This window comes from Homo sapiens, chromosome 6 (genome assembly GCF_000001405.40).
Source record: "Homo sapiens chromosome 6, GRCh38.p14 Primary Assembly".
NCBI classification, from domain to species: Eukaryota; Metazoa; Chordata; class Mammalia; order Primates; family Hominidae; genus Homo; species Homo sapiens.
In genome coordinates this window covers 144,288,889-144,306,861 of record NC_000006.12, presented here as the reverse complement: position 1 = coordinate 144,306,861, position 17,973 = coordinate 144,288,889, and the positions used below count along the sequence as shown (strand labels likewise).

Here is a 17,973-nt window from a genome sequence, read left to right as displayed (position 1 = left end):
CTGGTCTTGAACTCCTGACCTCAGGTGATCCGCCCGCCTCGGCCTTTCAAAGTGCTGGGATTCCAGGCATGATCCACCACACCCGGCCTCTTGAATTTTTAACATTATCTTGCAAAGAGCTCAAAAAATGACTCAGGAAAGTACTCAAGACTCCAGCTGCCAGTTTTCAAGGGCAGACCCCAGCCCAAGCCAGTCTCATACATGTAAGAGAAATATATATATTACATATTTTTCCCAGATATCTCCAGGCACCTCAAAACTCAATCTAGAACTTCACTTACTATCCCCTTATGCACTGCCCTCTCCACAAAACCTAGAAAGAAAGGCTTCATTTGCGAGTGTTAAAGTCAAAAACCAGGCTTCTCTCTCCATCCCATCCACCACCCATCATCTGAAGACCACCACCATGTCCTATCAGGTCTGCCTCCTACCTAAAGCTTCTAAACTCTCCCCTCTCCTCCTTCCCAGCTACCTCAATCTCAGTTTTGGCTTCAATACCTCTTATCCTCTAACTGTGACAGCCACCCAAAGGTCCTCCAGAACCCCAGGCTTGCCTCATCCAGCACACACCCCACACCATCCATGCTCCACGTGGCTTCTAGAGCACCACTCAGAAGAGCAAATCTGATCAGATCAGCCCTCTGCTCACAAGCTTTCAGAGGAAGCAAGGCCTTCCCAAACCAGGAGTGAGAGAGAGGAGGCCATCTCAAGTAACCAAAAACACAGAGAAAAGGGAAAATAAAACAGAAAGTATGTAACCTGATATTACAGCTACGGTTTGTGGTGTGTGGTGTGTGCAGGGTGTGAGGTATGTATGTGTCAGGGAAGTAGTTCGGTGAATACTGCTCCTAGAAATTGGAAGCTTTTTTTATTTAATATGTCATATCTTTCAGACATAGAAATAGACAATAATAGGCAAAAGAAAATGGTACAAGGTCCATGACTGCAGTGAATCTCCTATCCAGATCTGCCTTTCAGGCAAGGCAATGCACAAATTCATTCCCCCAGCAGCTGAGGGCTCATAGCTGAGCATCCGTCCAGGAACTGCCCTTGGCCAAGTTACCTTGCCCAGATTTTCACCTCACCTCCTTCCCAGGGTCAGCCAAAAGCCTACTGGTCAAGGCAAAGGTCCCCAGGCTCAACACATTGCCTCAAGTTGGGAAATCTCTGAAGGGCCATCCCAGCACCAGCATTCCCTATGGATCCAATGGTGGCCCTGCTGTAACTCAACTACACTTCAGCTTTTCCCTGGCCCAGTCCTTCTTCCCTCATTTCTTTCATTAACAGGAATTGTTCTCAAGTGCACACAAATCTCTGTCTCAAATCCTACTTCCAAGGAACTGGGCTTAAGACAGTCATCACTCAGTTCACAAATCAGCATTATTTCATATTAATTTAAGATTCTATTTCTATTTTCATTGAGGAATTAAATATTATAGATAAAACTGAAGAACCTCCTCTCTCACTATCTCTAAAGAAATCTAGTGTTTATAATTTCCATAAAAATTTTTGTATTTTGCTATATATTTATAATATGAATACATAAACACTGCAGGGCAATTTCTGCAGGTATATGAGCTTTATATACAGTACCATTCAATACATTGTGCAACCTGATTTTTGTTTGTAGTCAAATTGTTTTTAAGATTTATCTATGCTGACATAATTAGCTCTTTAAAATACAACCTAAATCAAATACGTCAAAACATTACCAGCCTGGCCAACATGGTGAAACCATGTCTCTACAAAACATACAAAAAAAATTAGCTGGGCATGATGGTATATGCCTGTAATCTCAGCTATTCGGGTGGCTGAGGCACAAGAATTGTTTGAACCCAGGAAGGGGAGATTGTAGTGAGCCGAGATCGCGCCATTGCACTCCAGCCTGGGCAACAAGAGTGAAACTCCATTTCAAAAAAAAAAAAAAGTCAAAACATTAACAGCTGATAAATTTCAAATGAGGGCACGAGCATATCTGATATATCATTTCCTGTACATTTTTTTAGATTGAATACTTCAGAATTTTAAAAATGATAAATATATAAATATAAATTTTTTTAATTTTAAAGCCCTTTCAAAGATTCACCATTATGCTTAGGATACAACTCAAACTCCTAAAGATGGCTTATAACACTCTTCTCAGCTTCATTCTCCAGCATCCTGCTTTAGCCATATTGAAAACCTCACAATTCTCACCTCCAAACCTCTTGTCATCAACTCCCTCTGTCTTAACAGCCTCCCCACATCCCCACTCATTCTTTCAGATCTCAGCTTAGATATCCACTCTTCCAAGATGCCTTCCTTGAAGCCCTGGGATGTCAGGTACCACTCCCGTGAGCTCACACAGCAATCTGTGCTGTTTTTACTTTTACAACTGTGTAACTGCCTGTTTAATCTGTTTTCTTAAATTCCTGTGTACCTGCCCTCTCTAGGTGACAGACAGTCGACAACTGGAACTGTGTCTTATTCACCATGCGCCAATCCACAAGCCTAACATGTTGTAGAGGCAAGGCAACAAAGTACTATGCAAAAGTCTCTTACCGGCCAAAGCAAAAACTTGGGTACCACCAAGAGACAACCCAAGAATGCTTGCAAGTGTTTACAAATGAGAGCTTTTGTTTTTTCTTGAAGGTTAAGGGAACCACCATTTCTGAAATATCAGCATATATAGTAGATTTTAGTTATCCACTGAATGTAAAGAAAGATGAACTTACAAACAGTATGACAATAACAGCCTCTTCTTTCTTCTATTCCCAAAACCTCCACAGCAGAGCATCACATTAAGGAAAGCATTTGTTACCTGAATTATTATAATTTCTGAGCATCCCAGCTTTATTAACTGAACTCCAGGGCCCTTCTACCACTTAAGAATTCCCTAAATGTAAGATATTTCTCAACATCTGCTCCTAATTTATTTTTAATTTGCATTTATTCTATCCTATTTGTTGAAGCTGAAATTACTAATAGAGGATGGCATTATCTTCACAGCATCACATTAGACTACTCTTTAATTAAAGTTCCTCTGAAGTAGTTTTCCAAACTCTTTTAGTATATAGATTTTCTCTTAGCTGTGCAAGAGTTTTACCTTCATTTAAGATGAGATTAACATTACCTTTCTTTGCTACTTTTTCAAAGAACTGTTAATAGTATACTGCATAGACATGAATAAACCATCTCTTTTCTCATTTTCATCAACTTTTTCCTAAAGCATGACCCTTCTCTCAGAATATATATAGAAAAAAATACAGATCCTATTGCAGCTGAACTGAATTTGAAGTTCCCCATATAAACTGACCAAGAGGTACTGTGAGAAAAACAGCAGTAGTCAACTTCAGTAAGAAGTAGAAGTAACTGTAAACGGTTAAGAAATTGATCAAGAAAATTCTAGAGAAAAAGCTAATAACCGAAAGTGTTGAAAATCTGAATTACAGTACGATTTGAAAAACTACATACCTCATTGAAAACATAAAGCAAATCCCACCAAGGTGAAGTTTACATTGCGGCTTTATAGATACTGTTACTAAAAAGTCCCACAAAGGTGAAATTTACCTAGAGGCTTTAAACATACTGTTACTAACTAACAAATCCCACAAAGGCGAAGTTTACATTGAGGCTTTGCACACCCTGTTACTAACTGCTAACCACTTTTCACATCCTTTCCCCTGCTCAGTCTCCTCTTGTACCACTCTGGTCCAAGTCCTTATACTCCTTAACCTCAATTTTTTCACAACTCTTACCTGTTCCCTGCCTCCCCCTAACTCTGCTACCTTCCAAATCTATCTTTCCTGCTGCCAGCCAAGTTATCTTTCTGAAAAACAGTTCTGAGCTAGTCATTAACTCACCTAAAATCCTGTAGTGGCTTCTTACAGGGAAAGATCAAATAAACCCTGCTTCAAAAGGGCTTTCGAAATCTGACCCCAGCTTCTCCCATCATCCCCATTACCCCAGCCACACTCAGTTACCAGGGACAGACTTCAAATGCCTTGCTCTTTTCTCATCATCTGCAATGTTCTTCCCACACTGTCCACAGCGTTGCCTCTTACACATCCTTCAAGGCACACCTCAAATTCCTTGCCTCTTTCACGCTCTCTTACTCAAACCTACCCTCATTCCAACCAAAGCAAGACATCCTTCCTCCCTCCATGTGTCCCTGGTTTGTGTGGGGATGTTTATTGATGTCTTTCTTTCCAACTAGCCTGAGAGCATCTTAAGAACAGAGGTGGGTCTTGCTTATCTCTGAGCCCAGCATCTAACAATGAATGAACAATAACCATTTGCTGAATGAATGAGGTATGTATGTAAGCAAGTGTAATTTTTAAAACCATTAAAAGGCATAGCAAGTCTTTTTTTTTGAGACAGAGTCTCACTCTGTTGCCCAGGCTGGAGTGCATTGGCACAATCTCGTCTCACTACAACCTCTGCCTCCCAGTTCAAGCGATTCTCCTGCCTCAGCCTCCCAAGTAGCTGGGATTACAGGTGAGTGCCACCACGCCTGGCTGATTTTTGTATTTTTAGTAGAGACGAGGTTTCAGCATGTTGGCCAGGCTGGTCTCGAACTCCTGACCTCAGATGATCCACCCACCTTAGCCTCCCAAAGTGCTGGGATTACAGGCATGAGCCACTGCACACGGCCACAAGTCTTTGTTAAGCACTTACTGTGTGTGTGGAGACTAAGCTAAAGGCTAGCATCAGAAAGTCAGATGAAAAAAGGCATATAGACATACACAAGCCAGAAGGGCCACAAACAGAAATGAAGAGTGAACACGTGGGAAAGATTGATTCTGGCATGCAGATAGCACAGAGAGCAGAACACCTGGTGGCACTGATGCTGATGTTTTAAAGATGGAGGTTGCAAAACTGGGGACGCAGGGAGAAGGAGAACAATCAAGCCCAGAACACAAAACAAGCGAAGTCACAGAGGTAAGAAAAGGACCATGGGCAGTCTTCACCTGGTGCCCTCTGCCTCCTTCATGGTGGTTTTTGGGGCGAGGGGGAGGGTGGGGCAGTGCTGTTAGAAAGTAGGATGGTGGCCATGAGCAGTGTCTCACGCCTGTAATCCAGTATTTTGGGAGGCCAAGGCAGGCGGTTCACTTGAGGTTAGGAGCTCAGGACCAGCCTCGGCAACGTGGTGAAACTCCACTTCTACTAAAAATACAAAAAGTAGCCAAGCATGGTGGCAGGCACCTGTAATCCCAGCTACTTGGGAGGCTGAGGCAGAAGAATCACTTGAACCTGGGAGGCGGAGGGCTGAAATTGAGTCACTGCACTCCAGCCTGGGCAATGGAGCAAGACCCTGTCTCAAAAAAAAAAAAAAAAAAAAAAAAAGAAAGAAAGAAAGATAGGATGGCATGAGACTTCCCTAAATGTCTCCCTTAGACATATATGCAGAGAGACCCCCTCTCTGAGCAATCTGCCTTGATGCCAAGGCCCTCAGAATAAGGTATGTCTGACACCAAATGCCCAACAAGGCTGCCCTGAGACAGCAAGCATATGCATGTGTTCCGAAAACACCAACACTCTTCTAATTTACAACACGTTACGTATCTTGAAAAAGCGTATGCAAGTTCAAATAATTCAAGTCAACTCTGATTTTTCTATACAAACTATCAAAATGGGAGTTAATATATAATTAAGGGTCTGATATGTTAACATTATAGAACTGGCCATTGATTTCACATGTAAAAACACAAAAGTAAACCTTTTTATATTTGCTAATACGGCATTTTCTAATCACCTAAAGGAACTAGATGAGGTAACAGAGTAAACTAGAACACACACAGTTTTATTTATGAGCCCCCCACCGAAAAAGCTGGGCTTTAGGGTAAGTCCAGGAGCCTTTAACACTAAATAAGATGGAGATTCATCCTCCCACCCCTGAGACAATATTTACATTTTAAATTTTAAAAGATAATATAATTTCAAAACTGGCAATATAACAATCACTTTAAGAAATTGGTCATATACAACTTAGGACCAAATGTTGTTTTAAAGTCTATTTGCTTCGGGGTATTTTATTACTTTTATTTTGCAGTTTCTTAGTTTCAAATAAGAAAAGGCTTCCTCCTGTTTCATGAAAACTTACTCCACATATGAACATGGCCAACCTCTGCACCAAAGTCTCTGTTCTAACATAGATTACCAGCCACTCACACCTTTCCAGTGGCTCCCTTTTTGATCCTTAATCTTAAAACTGCCTGAGGAGCAGGTCTCATTAAATTTTGAGATGTGATCTCAAATACCACACAATGATATACAAAGAAGCAATTCCGTATCTCAAGTCACTCTGAAGGTTATTTTATCAAAGAAGAAATAAAGATCCCTTCCTGTATCTTCAAAGAGGTAAAAGATTAAAGCTCAAAAGACAGGTAAATAACCCCAAAGATCTGCAAATAACTCAAGGTCTATAAAAGGTTTGGGGTTTGTTATTTGACTTGATTTGGTTTGGTTAACTGAATATAAGGATATCACAAGAGGCCGGGAACCATGGCTCATGCCTGTATTTCCAGCACTTTGAGAGGCTGAGGTGGGTAGATCACTTGAGGTCAGAAGTTCGAGACCAGCCTGGCTGACATGGTGAAACCCCATCTCTACCAAAAATACAAAAATTAGCCAGGCATGGTGGCACACACCTGTAGTCCCAGCTACTCATGAAGCTGAGGTGGGAGAATCACTTGATCCTAGGAGGCAGAGGTTGCAGTGAGCTGAGATGGCACCACTGCACTCCAGCCTGGGCAACAGAGCAAGAGGAAGACTACGGCTCAAAAAAAAAAAAAAATCACAAGACTTTTGGGCTGTTTTTACAGATCCATAGGGAAAATGCTACGGTGGTCTATGTCACTTAACTCTTTAATTCATCTTCACATAAAAATCACTATACATCTTTTAAAATTCACTCATTTTAAAGAATGGTAGGCAAATTATTTCAAAAGCAAGCATAGTTATATTAAATATGTCACCTATTTAGAATTAAAAAACAGGGAGGCAAATATTAATACATATATAATACATTTCTCTAACCACCCCCCCTTAAGATAAGAAAACTAGCATAGAGGTTGAATGTGAGGAGTTTTTTTCCCACCATGATTCAAAAACACGTCTGTCTTTGAAATAATGTAATAGAAAATATACACAATACATTTTTATAATGAATGCATCAGCGGACTCTAAGCTGATGCATTCCCTAGAAAAAGAGTTCAAGATGTGATGTTACACTCACAGCAAGAAGACCTTGAACACACTGCAGCAATAACTAAGGAGCGCAGTGGAGAAATATGTCGGCACTAGATATATTGGTATCATCTTCTGGTTCAATGGGCCAAAATAAGAAATGCACCAGGTTTCATCACTCTCCTGACCCACTTTCCTCACTTTTAACTTCACCCAACACAACCCAAACTCTTCAAAATACAGTGTAAAAGAAAAAATGCCCAACATCATGAAATCTATTATCTTTTCAAATTATTTAAAGGGAAGTGTTTATAAGTAGAAATAATAAACGTTGTAGCTTTCCTTGCTCCTCTAAAATGCAGATCATTTTCACTTTGGTTCTATGACTTTTAAACCTGCCTTCCTTGTCTATAAATTAAGAGCACTAAAGAGAATAGCCCACAGAACTTGTTAAAACTCCAGATGCTGGGACCCCACCCCACATATCTGAGTCTGGACCCAGAAGGGTGGTTCTGACATAAAGCTTGAATTAGGAACTCCATATGTGAGAAGCTCAAAACCTAGTTTTCAAAATAAAAGCATGTGCATAAATCTACATATTGACTGGATCAATGTTAAATAACATGACTCACACGTAGCCTTTGAGGGGCAAGTGAACAAATCAATTAGTATCAACCTCAAAATGTTATTTCCTGCACCAAAAATCTTTTGCATATAAATATTGTATACCAAAATCTTAATTAGAGAATGGAGTTGAAGAAATTTGCAAAAATTAAGACTATGAAATTAAAGAAAAAGATCTAAAGAGATCATACTTTTGAAATTATACAGATGTGTTAATTTCAAAGCTGTACCACTTTAGAGACACAAAGTCATATTTTTTATTGGATTCCTCTGCTACATCAGAAATGCCCTTATATGCTTTTCTCTACACTTTGAAAAAAGATTTTGTTCCATAATTAAATGTTAAAAGGATTGAACTGAATGTAACTAGCCACCCGTCCACATACCAAAAAAGGCTCATTCGAAAATATTCACACAAAAAATGTGACTCTCATGCTCTATGTGTTGTTGAGCTCCACTGCTATGAAAGACAGATCTGCATTTTTTTTAAACTTAATTTCTTAAAAGTGAAGGTGAGGTTATACCACTGTAAACCTTAATCTTAGCTGCCAGATGCGCATACACAGACATTTCCCTTATGAACCGGGCCAAGAGAATGTGCTTCTGATAGAAGAGCCCCACAGGATATTAATAAACGTCAGGTATTTGGTTGTTTAAAGGCACAAATGCAAAGATTGGAAAACCACATGGATGCTGGAAACTACCTGCTTCCTGGAATTGACATGTGCAAATCCAGTGTCACAGGAAGTAAAAGCGAAAGGACTGGGACCTGGTTTCAATTTCTCAGTCCAAGAGCCATCATCTCGAGAGTAAGTATACATTAAGAACTCATACTGCCTCACATTTCAAATATTGAAATAAGTCTATTTATTATTAAACAGTTAAGGCATATAAAAAGATAAAAATATAACATAGTAAATGTCTATGCCTCCACACAATTTAAGGGGAGAAAAAAAAATCCAGCCAATGCATCTGAAACCACTTCAGCAGAGTACCCTTTCTCCATTGCTTTAGATTAAATTTTAACTAATATTTACAGCTGCTCAAATAGTCTTGCATGTTGACTTGTTCCCAGAAAAATCATCATATCAGCATCTAGTTCAAACTTCTGGGTACAAATAAGGTTCAATAAAATTGAGTTCTCTGTTCTGTCTATATAATTAACGTACTTCCTTTGCTTAGAATCATCCTCAGCAATTCACGTTTTCCAGTCGGGAATGGATCTCCTCTAAAAGTTTCACAACCATAGTAACAGGTCATGAGAATCACATTAATACAAAAAAACTTTCTCATGATTGCACTACTTCAGCATAATGAGGTAACAACATGGAGAATATCTTTACAAGCAGGACAAGAATAGCTGCCCTTCTCTGCCAGAGTTGAATTTCCATCAGGGTTACTGTCTATCACTACAAATCCCCAGGGCTCATGGAAAAAAACAAACCTGCTCAAAGACCTCCCTTCAAAGCACAGGTATTCCAGCCAAGGAAAGCTTCAGGAGAAACAAAAAATGAACTATTTTTTCACAGTCCCTTGAGCTGTTTAGAAAAATCCCCTCACAGATACTGCTTTAAACATAAAAGAAAGAAATAGACCGATGACTGCCTAAATACAACTTAACCACTGTCTTTCCTCAAGAAAGGCCTCAGAAAGATAAACAAATAAGGTAATCCTCCTCAGAATTTTCATAAAATTGAATCTTGTTAAGCAAGTTTACTTTCCAAACATAGCAGATTTTCAGGAGGCTTGCTATAAATGTAACCTGGTATAATATTTCATATTTAATAATTTGTTTTATTTTTATTTCACTGGTCTCTCTTTGCTTCCTTCCCCTACACTCCTCAACCAACCCTTTGCTTCCTTCCCCTACACTCCTCAACCAACTCTTTCAGTACCACAGATACCTATCTGGGCATCGGACCAGGACCTACACTGTGCCAAATGTCAGTCCTTATGAAATCCACTACCTTTTTTTTTTTTAACTTCAGCTCGTTAAAAGCCTTGAGCAGTAGTCAGAAGAAAAGAGAAAAAGGAATTCATGTCAGAAACACATTATCCATTTCTCTATCTTCCACCCAAAGGACTGTTTGTCCTCTGGTATTTTCCCCTTTGCTAACTCAACAGAGAATGACAGAGACTAGAGCCAAAAATCAAGAAAGGATGCAACTGGCCCAGAAGCAGTAGGCTGTGTCTCTTACAATTGGCCTTCCCTTGTCAGGGCTCTGAGATACTAACCTGGGGTCCAGAGGAGCTCTACCTCACAGTCCAGGGTCCCACCCCTGAAAACTACAAAAAAAGAGATAGAAGAGCTGTATAAATACAATTAATACAGTGCAAAATGTGTAAGGGACAGAATTAGGCACAAAATGAAGAAGAGTCACCGAGCAGCAATGGAATAAAATGTCTTGTGAGTTAGGAGACTGGGCACTCCATAGAGGTCAAATGCAGGGTTTCTAGAGTCAGATCATCTGAGTTCAAATGCCAGCTCTGGCACTTCCAGACTCTGTAGCCTTTATCATTGAATAAACATTTATTGCTCACCTATTATGAGCCAGGCATTGGGCTCAGTACCAGGGATGTATTGGTCCCTGCTCTTGGGGAGTTAATTAAAGTGCAGCAGTCCCCAGCCTTTTTGGCACCAGGGACCAGTTTCATGGCAGACAATTTTTCCAAGGGATGAGGGGGATGGTTTTGGGATGAAACTGTTCTACCTCAGATCATCAGGCATTAGATTCTCATAAGGAGCAGGCAACCTAGATCCCTCGCATGTGCGGTTCACCATAGAGTCTCACTCCTATGAGAATCTAATGCTGCCGCTGATCTGACAGGAGGCAGAGCTCAGGCGGTAGTGCTTGCTCAGCCACCACTCACCTCCTGCTGTGCCACCTGGTCCCTAACAGGCAACGGACTGGTACCAGTCCAGGCCCTGGGAGTTGGGGAGCCCTGTTCTAGTGGGAAGGCTATTAATGAACACACAGTACCAGAAAAGGTACCAGAGAGTGCTAAGAACAACACAGGGAACGTAAATACAGAGATGCAGTCAAGAGTGACTGGGAGAGCTACTTTCTAAAGTCAGCAAGGAAGATCTCTGAAGAGGTGACATTAGGCCTACATCTAAATGACAAGAAGGAACCAGCCAGGCAAAGATGGAAGAAGAGAGATGTGCAAAGGCCCTGAGGAAGACACACTGGGCCTTTGGAGAAATAGAAAGAAGTCCAGTGCCACAAATCACTTCAGTATGGCTCACATTTATCATCTGCAAAATGGCGGTTGTGAGGATTAAACTGTTAGCACCACATCTGCACACAGAATGTGTTCAATTAGTGTAAGTTGCTAGAATCGTCATCATCAGCAGCAGCAGTGAGATGCCATCATTGGAGGTGTGCAAACAGAGACTGGGTGAGCACATCACAGGAATGGCTGGGTTATAGGGCGTTTAAGGTTCCCTCAACAATTAGATCCTAAGATTAGACAAGAAGAGAAAATGCAAAGGAAGAAATGATAAAATTGTTACACACAGGCTTCCAGCCCAAGGTCGCTTGAAGAACACATTGAATTATCCAAAAATGTGAAGCTTGCCCAACTATTTCATTCATCAAACAGTTCTTTCCCAGCTGAGAGTCTATAATCCCAAACTGTCAAGAACTCCACATGGAGCCAGCTGACACACTGTCCTTAGCCCTGAGGTCTACTCTTTCTACAGGGCTCTGGGATAAAACCACAACAACACTGACAGCAACAGAAAAGGATGACTTATTCTGTGTTACTAGCTTTAATGTATGTTAATTATTGAATGAAATAGCAGTGAGGATATTCTTCGATTGTATATGCATCCCAAACCATTTTATTATTTCATGTTTAAAATGTTCCAAGCAGTACTTTCTGCATCACACACTCTACTGGCAATAAATTTCACTTTTTAAAAATTCTTAGTCTTGGCCTATTGTTTCAAAATATTTACTAACTTGTTGAACTTTCTAAAGCCTACTAATTAAGGCTGTTAATAATACAGTACTTGATGATGAACTTGGCATATGTGCTTTTAAGTTAGAGAAAGACAGGTCTACTTTTACCCAACACCAAATCCTTGGTCATTATAGATCAAATTCTTTCCAGTTCCTTTCTAACACTCACCCAAACCCAAGGCAAGTATACTACAACCATAAATAAATACATGGCTTTGTATTTATGAAACTACTTCATTACGTACCCTTGACAACTTCCTATTTCTGTTTAGATGGTAGAAATGGCTTTAAAATTATAAAATTTAAAAAATTATAATATTCAAAATGGCATGAAACAAAGTAATACTAAGTGAGGACAATAAAAATAATCACAATAACTTAACATAAAATGCATAGACATTTTTATTATGCCAATTTAATTATGCCAGCCTTTTGGATTGTCCAAACTCGAGGATTTGGAGAGCAGAAACCACACTCTCCGTCCCCCCACTTTCATCCAATTTCCCCCCAAAAAAGAAACCTGGAAGAGCAGATGAGGATCAAAATTTTCCTAAAGGAAAGTATTCCCTTTTAAAAAATGGAAAAGCAACCAATTTGGCATACAGCATGTAGACAGAGGATCTTTAAAATACATATATGATATGTAGACAATTCCTATGACTTAATCTAAACTAAAAATCTCTTAAAATATGTAAGTTTTAGAGTACCATGAAATATTACCTCTGTATAGTAAGCATTTGCCTTAAAAGAATCAAAAAAAGTCCCTTAGAGGAAGCCAGATTGGGACTAATGGGTCCATTCAAATCCAAATTTATCTACTGGCTTTTGCAACATAATTCAGCCAAAAGAATGTGATTCATATCTGAGCTATGTAACAACTAAATTTTCAGTGTGTTTTGAAGTAGATGCCACCACAAAAAAAGTAATAGTCATAACCTTGGCATCTAAACACTCTAAGCAATTTGATAATCTTTAAAAATATAAGAACTCAGTAATGTGGGTTCATTGAAGAACTTTAGAAAATATAAATCAGCAAAAAAAAAAGTAATAATCTCAAATGCCAAGATGACCACTATTAACATTTATTGTATACTTCACTAAATTTTTAAAAAACATTTTTCATATAAATGACTTCATATAATACATACTTGTTTACTTACTATATCAAGAACACATTTCTATATTCATACACACACACACACACACACACATCACACACATCTGTATCACTTTTTATGAATGCTTAATCTTCTACTTTATGGATATACCCTAATTTAGTTACCTCTACTGAGATCATGTATGATCTGTTCAGATGTGCTAGAGTAAAGAAACAGAATAATAGGTTTAAACAACTATTTCCTAAAGCTATTTGACCATAACATCCTTTTGTGAATTACACATTAACAATCCTAGAACTTTTGATCTTTTCGAAATACTTTGGGAAATAATGATCTAACCAATTCCTAATATTAGATTTTCATGGTGTTTACAATGTTTTCTATTATAAATGATACTGTGATCAATTTCTTGAGTGTACCTTTTTATGTATTGCCTAGGGAAAAACTCTAGAAACAGAATTACTCAGTTAATTGATATGCATGTGTTAAAAACATGTTATCATTTTTGCCAAATTGTTCTCCAGCAATATTTTAGGTTCATCAGCCTTTTTAAAAGATAATTTTAAATTAAAATAGTTTGGGAGTTTATATGTTCATTATATATACACGGTATTTCTGAAATTAGATAATTACTCTTTTATGGACACGGCTAAAGTACAAGTTATAAATATCAAAGGTCTTACTAGAATGAAGGCTGACTCAGAAAACTATTTAGGAATATACCTCCTCACAATTTATAGAAAATGACTAGTATGGAGACATTAAATCGTCTCTCTTCCATTTTCCTCTGTTATATTTACATATGTCTGAATATGTATTCCGTACTCCTAAGATGATATTAATAATCCCTTACATTTTTGTAGTACCTTATACCACTAAAACATTTAAAACAAAAAGAATTTTACAGGAAGAGAACATCCTCAAAGCATATTTTAAAACAAGATATTAAGCTATACCTTCAAAAGACCCGTCAAGCTACACAATAGTTGCTACATATTTACAGCCAAATCTGTAATAACTAAAATCTTTATCAATCAACCAACACCGGTATCATGGAGGAAAATGTGTATTTTAAGACAGTTAATTTAGATCTTATTTTCACTGTGTATTTCTACAGTTTCACATAATAAGAAACAAGCTCCTAACAGAACATAAAGATGGTTCACACAGCAAAAACAGGCTTTGGGTTCCTTTTTTGTCTTTAAAGTGACACTGGATGTAATTTTATACCTCAAAGTAACTTTTCAAAGTTACTTAAGTATAGTGTTCACACTCAGGGTGGAGTTCTGTGTAATTTTCAAGGCTGAGAAGTGTTCTGCCTGTTCAAAAATATCTCCCCTTTGAGTTTGTCTCAGAATCATATTTGAAGCTTTTTAAAAATACAGAAATTTTTATTCAATGGGTCTGGAATGGAGCCAATGCATCTGCGTTTTTTAAAACTCCCCAGTTGATTCATCTGTACAGCCAGAGTCAAAAAGCACTCGGTTATATAAAAAGATTGGAGGAGGGGGTGGTATCCTGAGGACCCCAATTTAACTGTTCGTGTGAAAACCATGAATCTGTCTGAGTCTGGTTTATTAGATTACCTAGGTGAAAATTTTACCTTGAGAAGGCTCATAAGATATTTCAAGGTAGGACACCTGTTGGCCTATCAATGGCTATGAACAGGGATGGGGGTGAGGATATATGGTAATGAAATCAAACTGTGAAAGATCTTTCCTGCCAGAAACTGTGGCACTTCCTACATTAAGCATATAATCCCTTCAATTTCCAGAAAATAGAAAGAGAAATGTTCGGTCGTATTTTATTTTAATGGAGTAGTCTTCCAAATGAACAACCTTTAGCTACAAGCAGCAGTTTCACTAAGCACAAAATTGGGTTGAGAAAGGATAGGACACTCAGAGATATTATACCTTTTACATATACCTTTTACAAAATTATAGTCATTTGTCAGAATTCAGTTTCTTAAAAGAACTTCACCTCCAAGAAGTTCTTGCAAGAACAATGCAAATCAATCCAAGAAACATAGGTTTTCTAAATACATAAAAATCCATAGCTTTCTTGAGCTTCCTTTACCTACCAGATCTGGACTTAATGATATCACTGAATTCGTTCTGCCCATTGTCAGGACTGGCTTCATGTTCTCCATACTTGGCCATCTTGCCAGAGTTTCAAGATAATCCAAAAACTTTACCAAGTCCTCTTTCTAAGGCTTTCAACTTCCTACGATGGTTCAGCTTGACATCAATACCTAAAAGGAAAAGGGAAAGTACTGACTTGAAAAAATGTATTTATATATTTTATATAGTTATTCGTAGTAACTATTCATTCACCAAATATTTATTGAGTGCCTACCACGTGTAAAGCACCAAGCCAGGCAATGGTGTTATGACTATGAACAAGAGACATAGCCTCTGCCATTACGGCGCTTATGCACACTAAGCAATTAATTACATAATGAATTATTTCATTACAATACTGACAGACTACAAATCATACAAAGGAGAAGCACAGAGTATTAAGAGCACACAGCAGAGGAGTCTGACCTGCCCTGGGCAATTAGAGAAGGCTTTCTTGAAGAGACATTTGAGCCAAGCCTTTAAAGATGACAAGAATTTAATTAGCCAAAAAGGGAAACAGAAAGAGAAAAGGTAAGAGCTTCCTATGTGAAGTGGCAGAAAGAATCATGGAGCAGTCAAAGAATGGAGCACAAGCCAGTGTTTCTGGAAAGAAGACAGCCAAGAGACAAGTGTACCTGTTGAACCAGGTGAAGAAGCTGGGCAGGACCAGGGATAGGACCATGGAGAACAGGTCAAGGGTTTGTGTCTTTATCTGAAGAGCAATGGGGAGCCAGTAGATGGTTCGAAGGAGGGAACCAACATGGTCAAATTGGCCTTTTTAAAAGATCGTCAAGGGACGGGCACGGTGGCTCATGCCTGTAATCCCAGCACTTTGGGAGGCCGAGGCAGGTGGATCACGAGGTCAGGAGTTCGAGACCAGCCTGGCCAGCACAGTGAAACCCTGTCTCTACTAAAAATACAAAAAAAAAAAAAAAATTAGCCAGGCATGGTGGTGTGCACCTGTAATCCCAGCTACTCAGGAGGCTAATGCAGGAGAATTGCTTGAACCTGGGAGGTGGAAGTTGCAGTGAGCTGAGATCACGCCACTGCACTCCACCCTGGGCAACGAGAGTGAGACTCCATCTCAAAAAAAAAAAAAAAAAAAAAAAAAAAAAGACGATTGTGGCTTGTAGGTAGACCACAGTAATATGTGGGGAACCAGTGAAGACTATGGCAGAATATAGCAAAATGCAAATTAAGGAACCTAGCTCATGGGTATATGAATGCTGAATGAAAATTTCTTGCAACTCTTCTGTATGTCTGAGAATTTTTTCATAGTAATATGTTGGGGAAAAATTCCTAATCTTAACCAAGTGATCAAAATTCACATAACCAATCATGGGGCATCATGCAATTGAATGGAAAATCACCACATCATCTACACAATATCCTTGCCAAGATGTTGAACGTGAATCTTCTCATGAGCAGACAAATCTAGACTGTGGCTAGTTTTCAAAAGAAATGGCCTGGTTTCTTCAAAACTGTCAGCGTCTTGAAAACCAAAATTACCTGGGAGAGGGGGAGCTTTGTGAATTAAAGGAGACTAAATAGACATGACAATGAAATGTAATCTTTGATTGAATTCAGAATTTTAAAATAAAACATTTGAGGATCATTTGAAAAATCTGAATTTGGACTATGTATTAGACAATATTATTGTATCAATGTTAAATTTCTTTAACATTAATTATGGTATTGTTGCAGGAGAATGTCTTTGATTGTAAGAGACATGTGGTGAAATATTTAGCAATGAAGTGTGATGGTATCTTCAACTTAAGTTCAAACAGAATAGCATATATCTGTCTATACTGATATAGGTATATTTAGGTTGATATATGTATGTAGATGTATATATGCATACACACAGACAGACAGAAAAATGCAGTAAGTATTGTAAAATAAGTGGGAAAACTAGGCCGGGCAAGGTGGCTCACGCCTGTAATCCCAGCACTTTGGGAAGCCAAGGCAGGTGCATCACCTGAGTTCAGGAGTTCGAGACCAGCCTGGCCAACATGGTGAAACCCCATCTCTACTTAAAAAAAAATACAAAAATTAGCTGGGTGTGGTGGCAGGTGCCTGTAATCCCAGCTACTTGGGAGGCTGAGGCAGGAGAATCACTTGAATCCAGGAGGCGGTGGTTACAGTGAGCCGAAATTGTGCTATTACTCTCCAGCCTGGGTGACAAGGGCAAAATTCCATCTCAAAAAAAATAAAGTAAGTGGGAAAACTTGTTAAAGGGCATCTGGGTCTAGGCGAGGTGGCTCACACCTGTAATCCCAGTACTTTGGGAAGCTTAAGCGAGAGGATTACTTGAGCCCAGAAGTTTGAGATCAGCCTAGGCAACATGGTGAGACCTTGTCTCTACTCCATGTAAATAAAAATTTTAAATAATAAAATAAAATAAAATAAAAAGGACATCTGGGTGTTTATTGTGCTATTCTTTCTATTGTAATATTATATGCAGGAAACAAGTGTGGTCTAAACAAGAGTAGATAGAAAGAAATGGGTGAATATGTGGGATATTTAGATATCAAAGAAAGTCAATAGGATTTGGGAATTGATTGGATATGAGAGATTCATATCCAATGTGCAAAATGTGCAAAATGACTCCCCAATTTTGGCTTAGGCAATTAGGTGAAGTGTGAGTCATTGAGCTGGGCAACACTGAGGATAGCAGGCTGGGAGAAAGGAATCATCAATGTGATTTGGATTTGCAGAGCTTGAAATGCCTCTGAGTTATATAAGCGGAGATGACAAAAAGAGAGTTGGGCCCAGCATGGTGGCTCATGCCTGTAATCCCAGCTCTTTGGGAGGCTGAGGCAGGCAGATCACTTGAGGTCCAGAGTTCAAGACCAACCTGGCTAACACTTGAGGTCAAGAGTTTGAGACCAGCCTGGCCAACATGGCGAAACCCTGTCTCTACTAAAAATATAAAAATTAGCCAGGCATGGTGGCAAACACCTGTAATCCCAGCTACTC

General features: G+C 39.0%; 1 protein-coding gene across 1 annotated transcript in view, besides 1 other annotated feature; it reads right to left on the bottom strand.

The window, feature by feature from the left end:
- UTRN (utrophin) overlaps nucleotides 1-17,973 on the bottom strand; it is a 567,700-nt gene that overhangs the window by 546,173 nt on the left and 3,554 nt on the right. Inside the window, exon 2 of the mRNA NM_007124.3 lies at nucleotides 14,955-15,125. Within this exon, the coding sequence (NP_009055.2) occupies nucleotides 14,955-15,033 (79 nt within the window). The 5' untranslated portion in view covers nucleotides 15,034-15,125. The remainder of the gene's footprint in view (nucleotides 1-14,954; nucleotides 15,126-17,973) is intronic.
- Nucleotides 654-773: an enhancer, noted in NCBI's record as "active region_25215". NCBI's record gives its function as "activates an Ori minimal core promoter by ATAC-STARR-seq in GM12878 lymphoblastoid cells {active_cell/tissue: GM12878}" and the evidence as "EXISTENCE:reporter gene assay evidence [ECO:0000049][PMID:35858748]".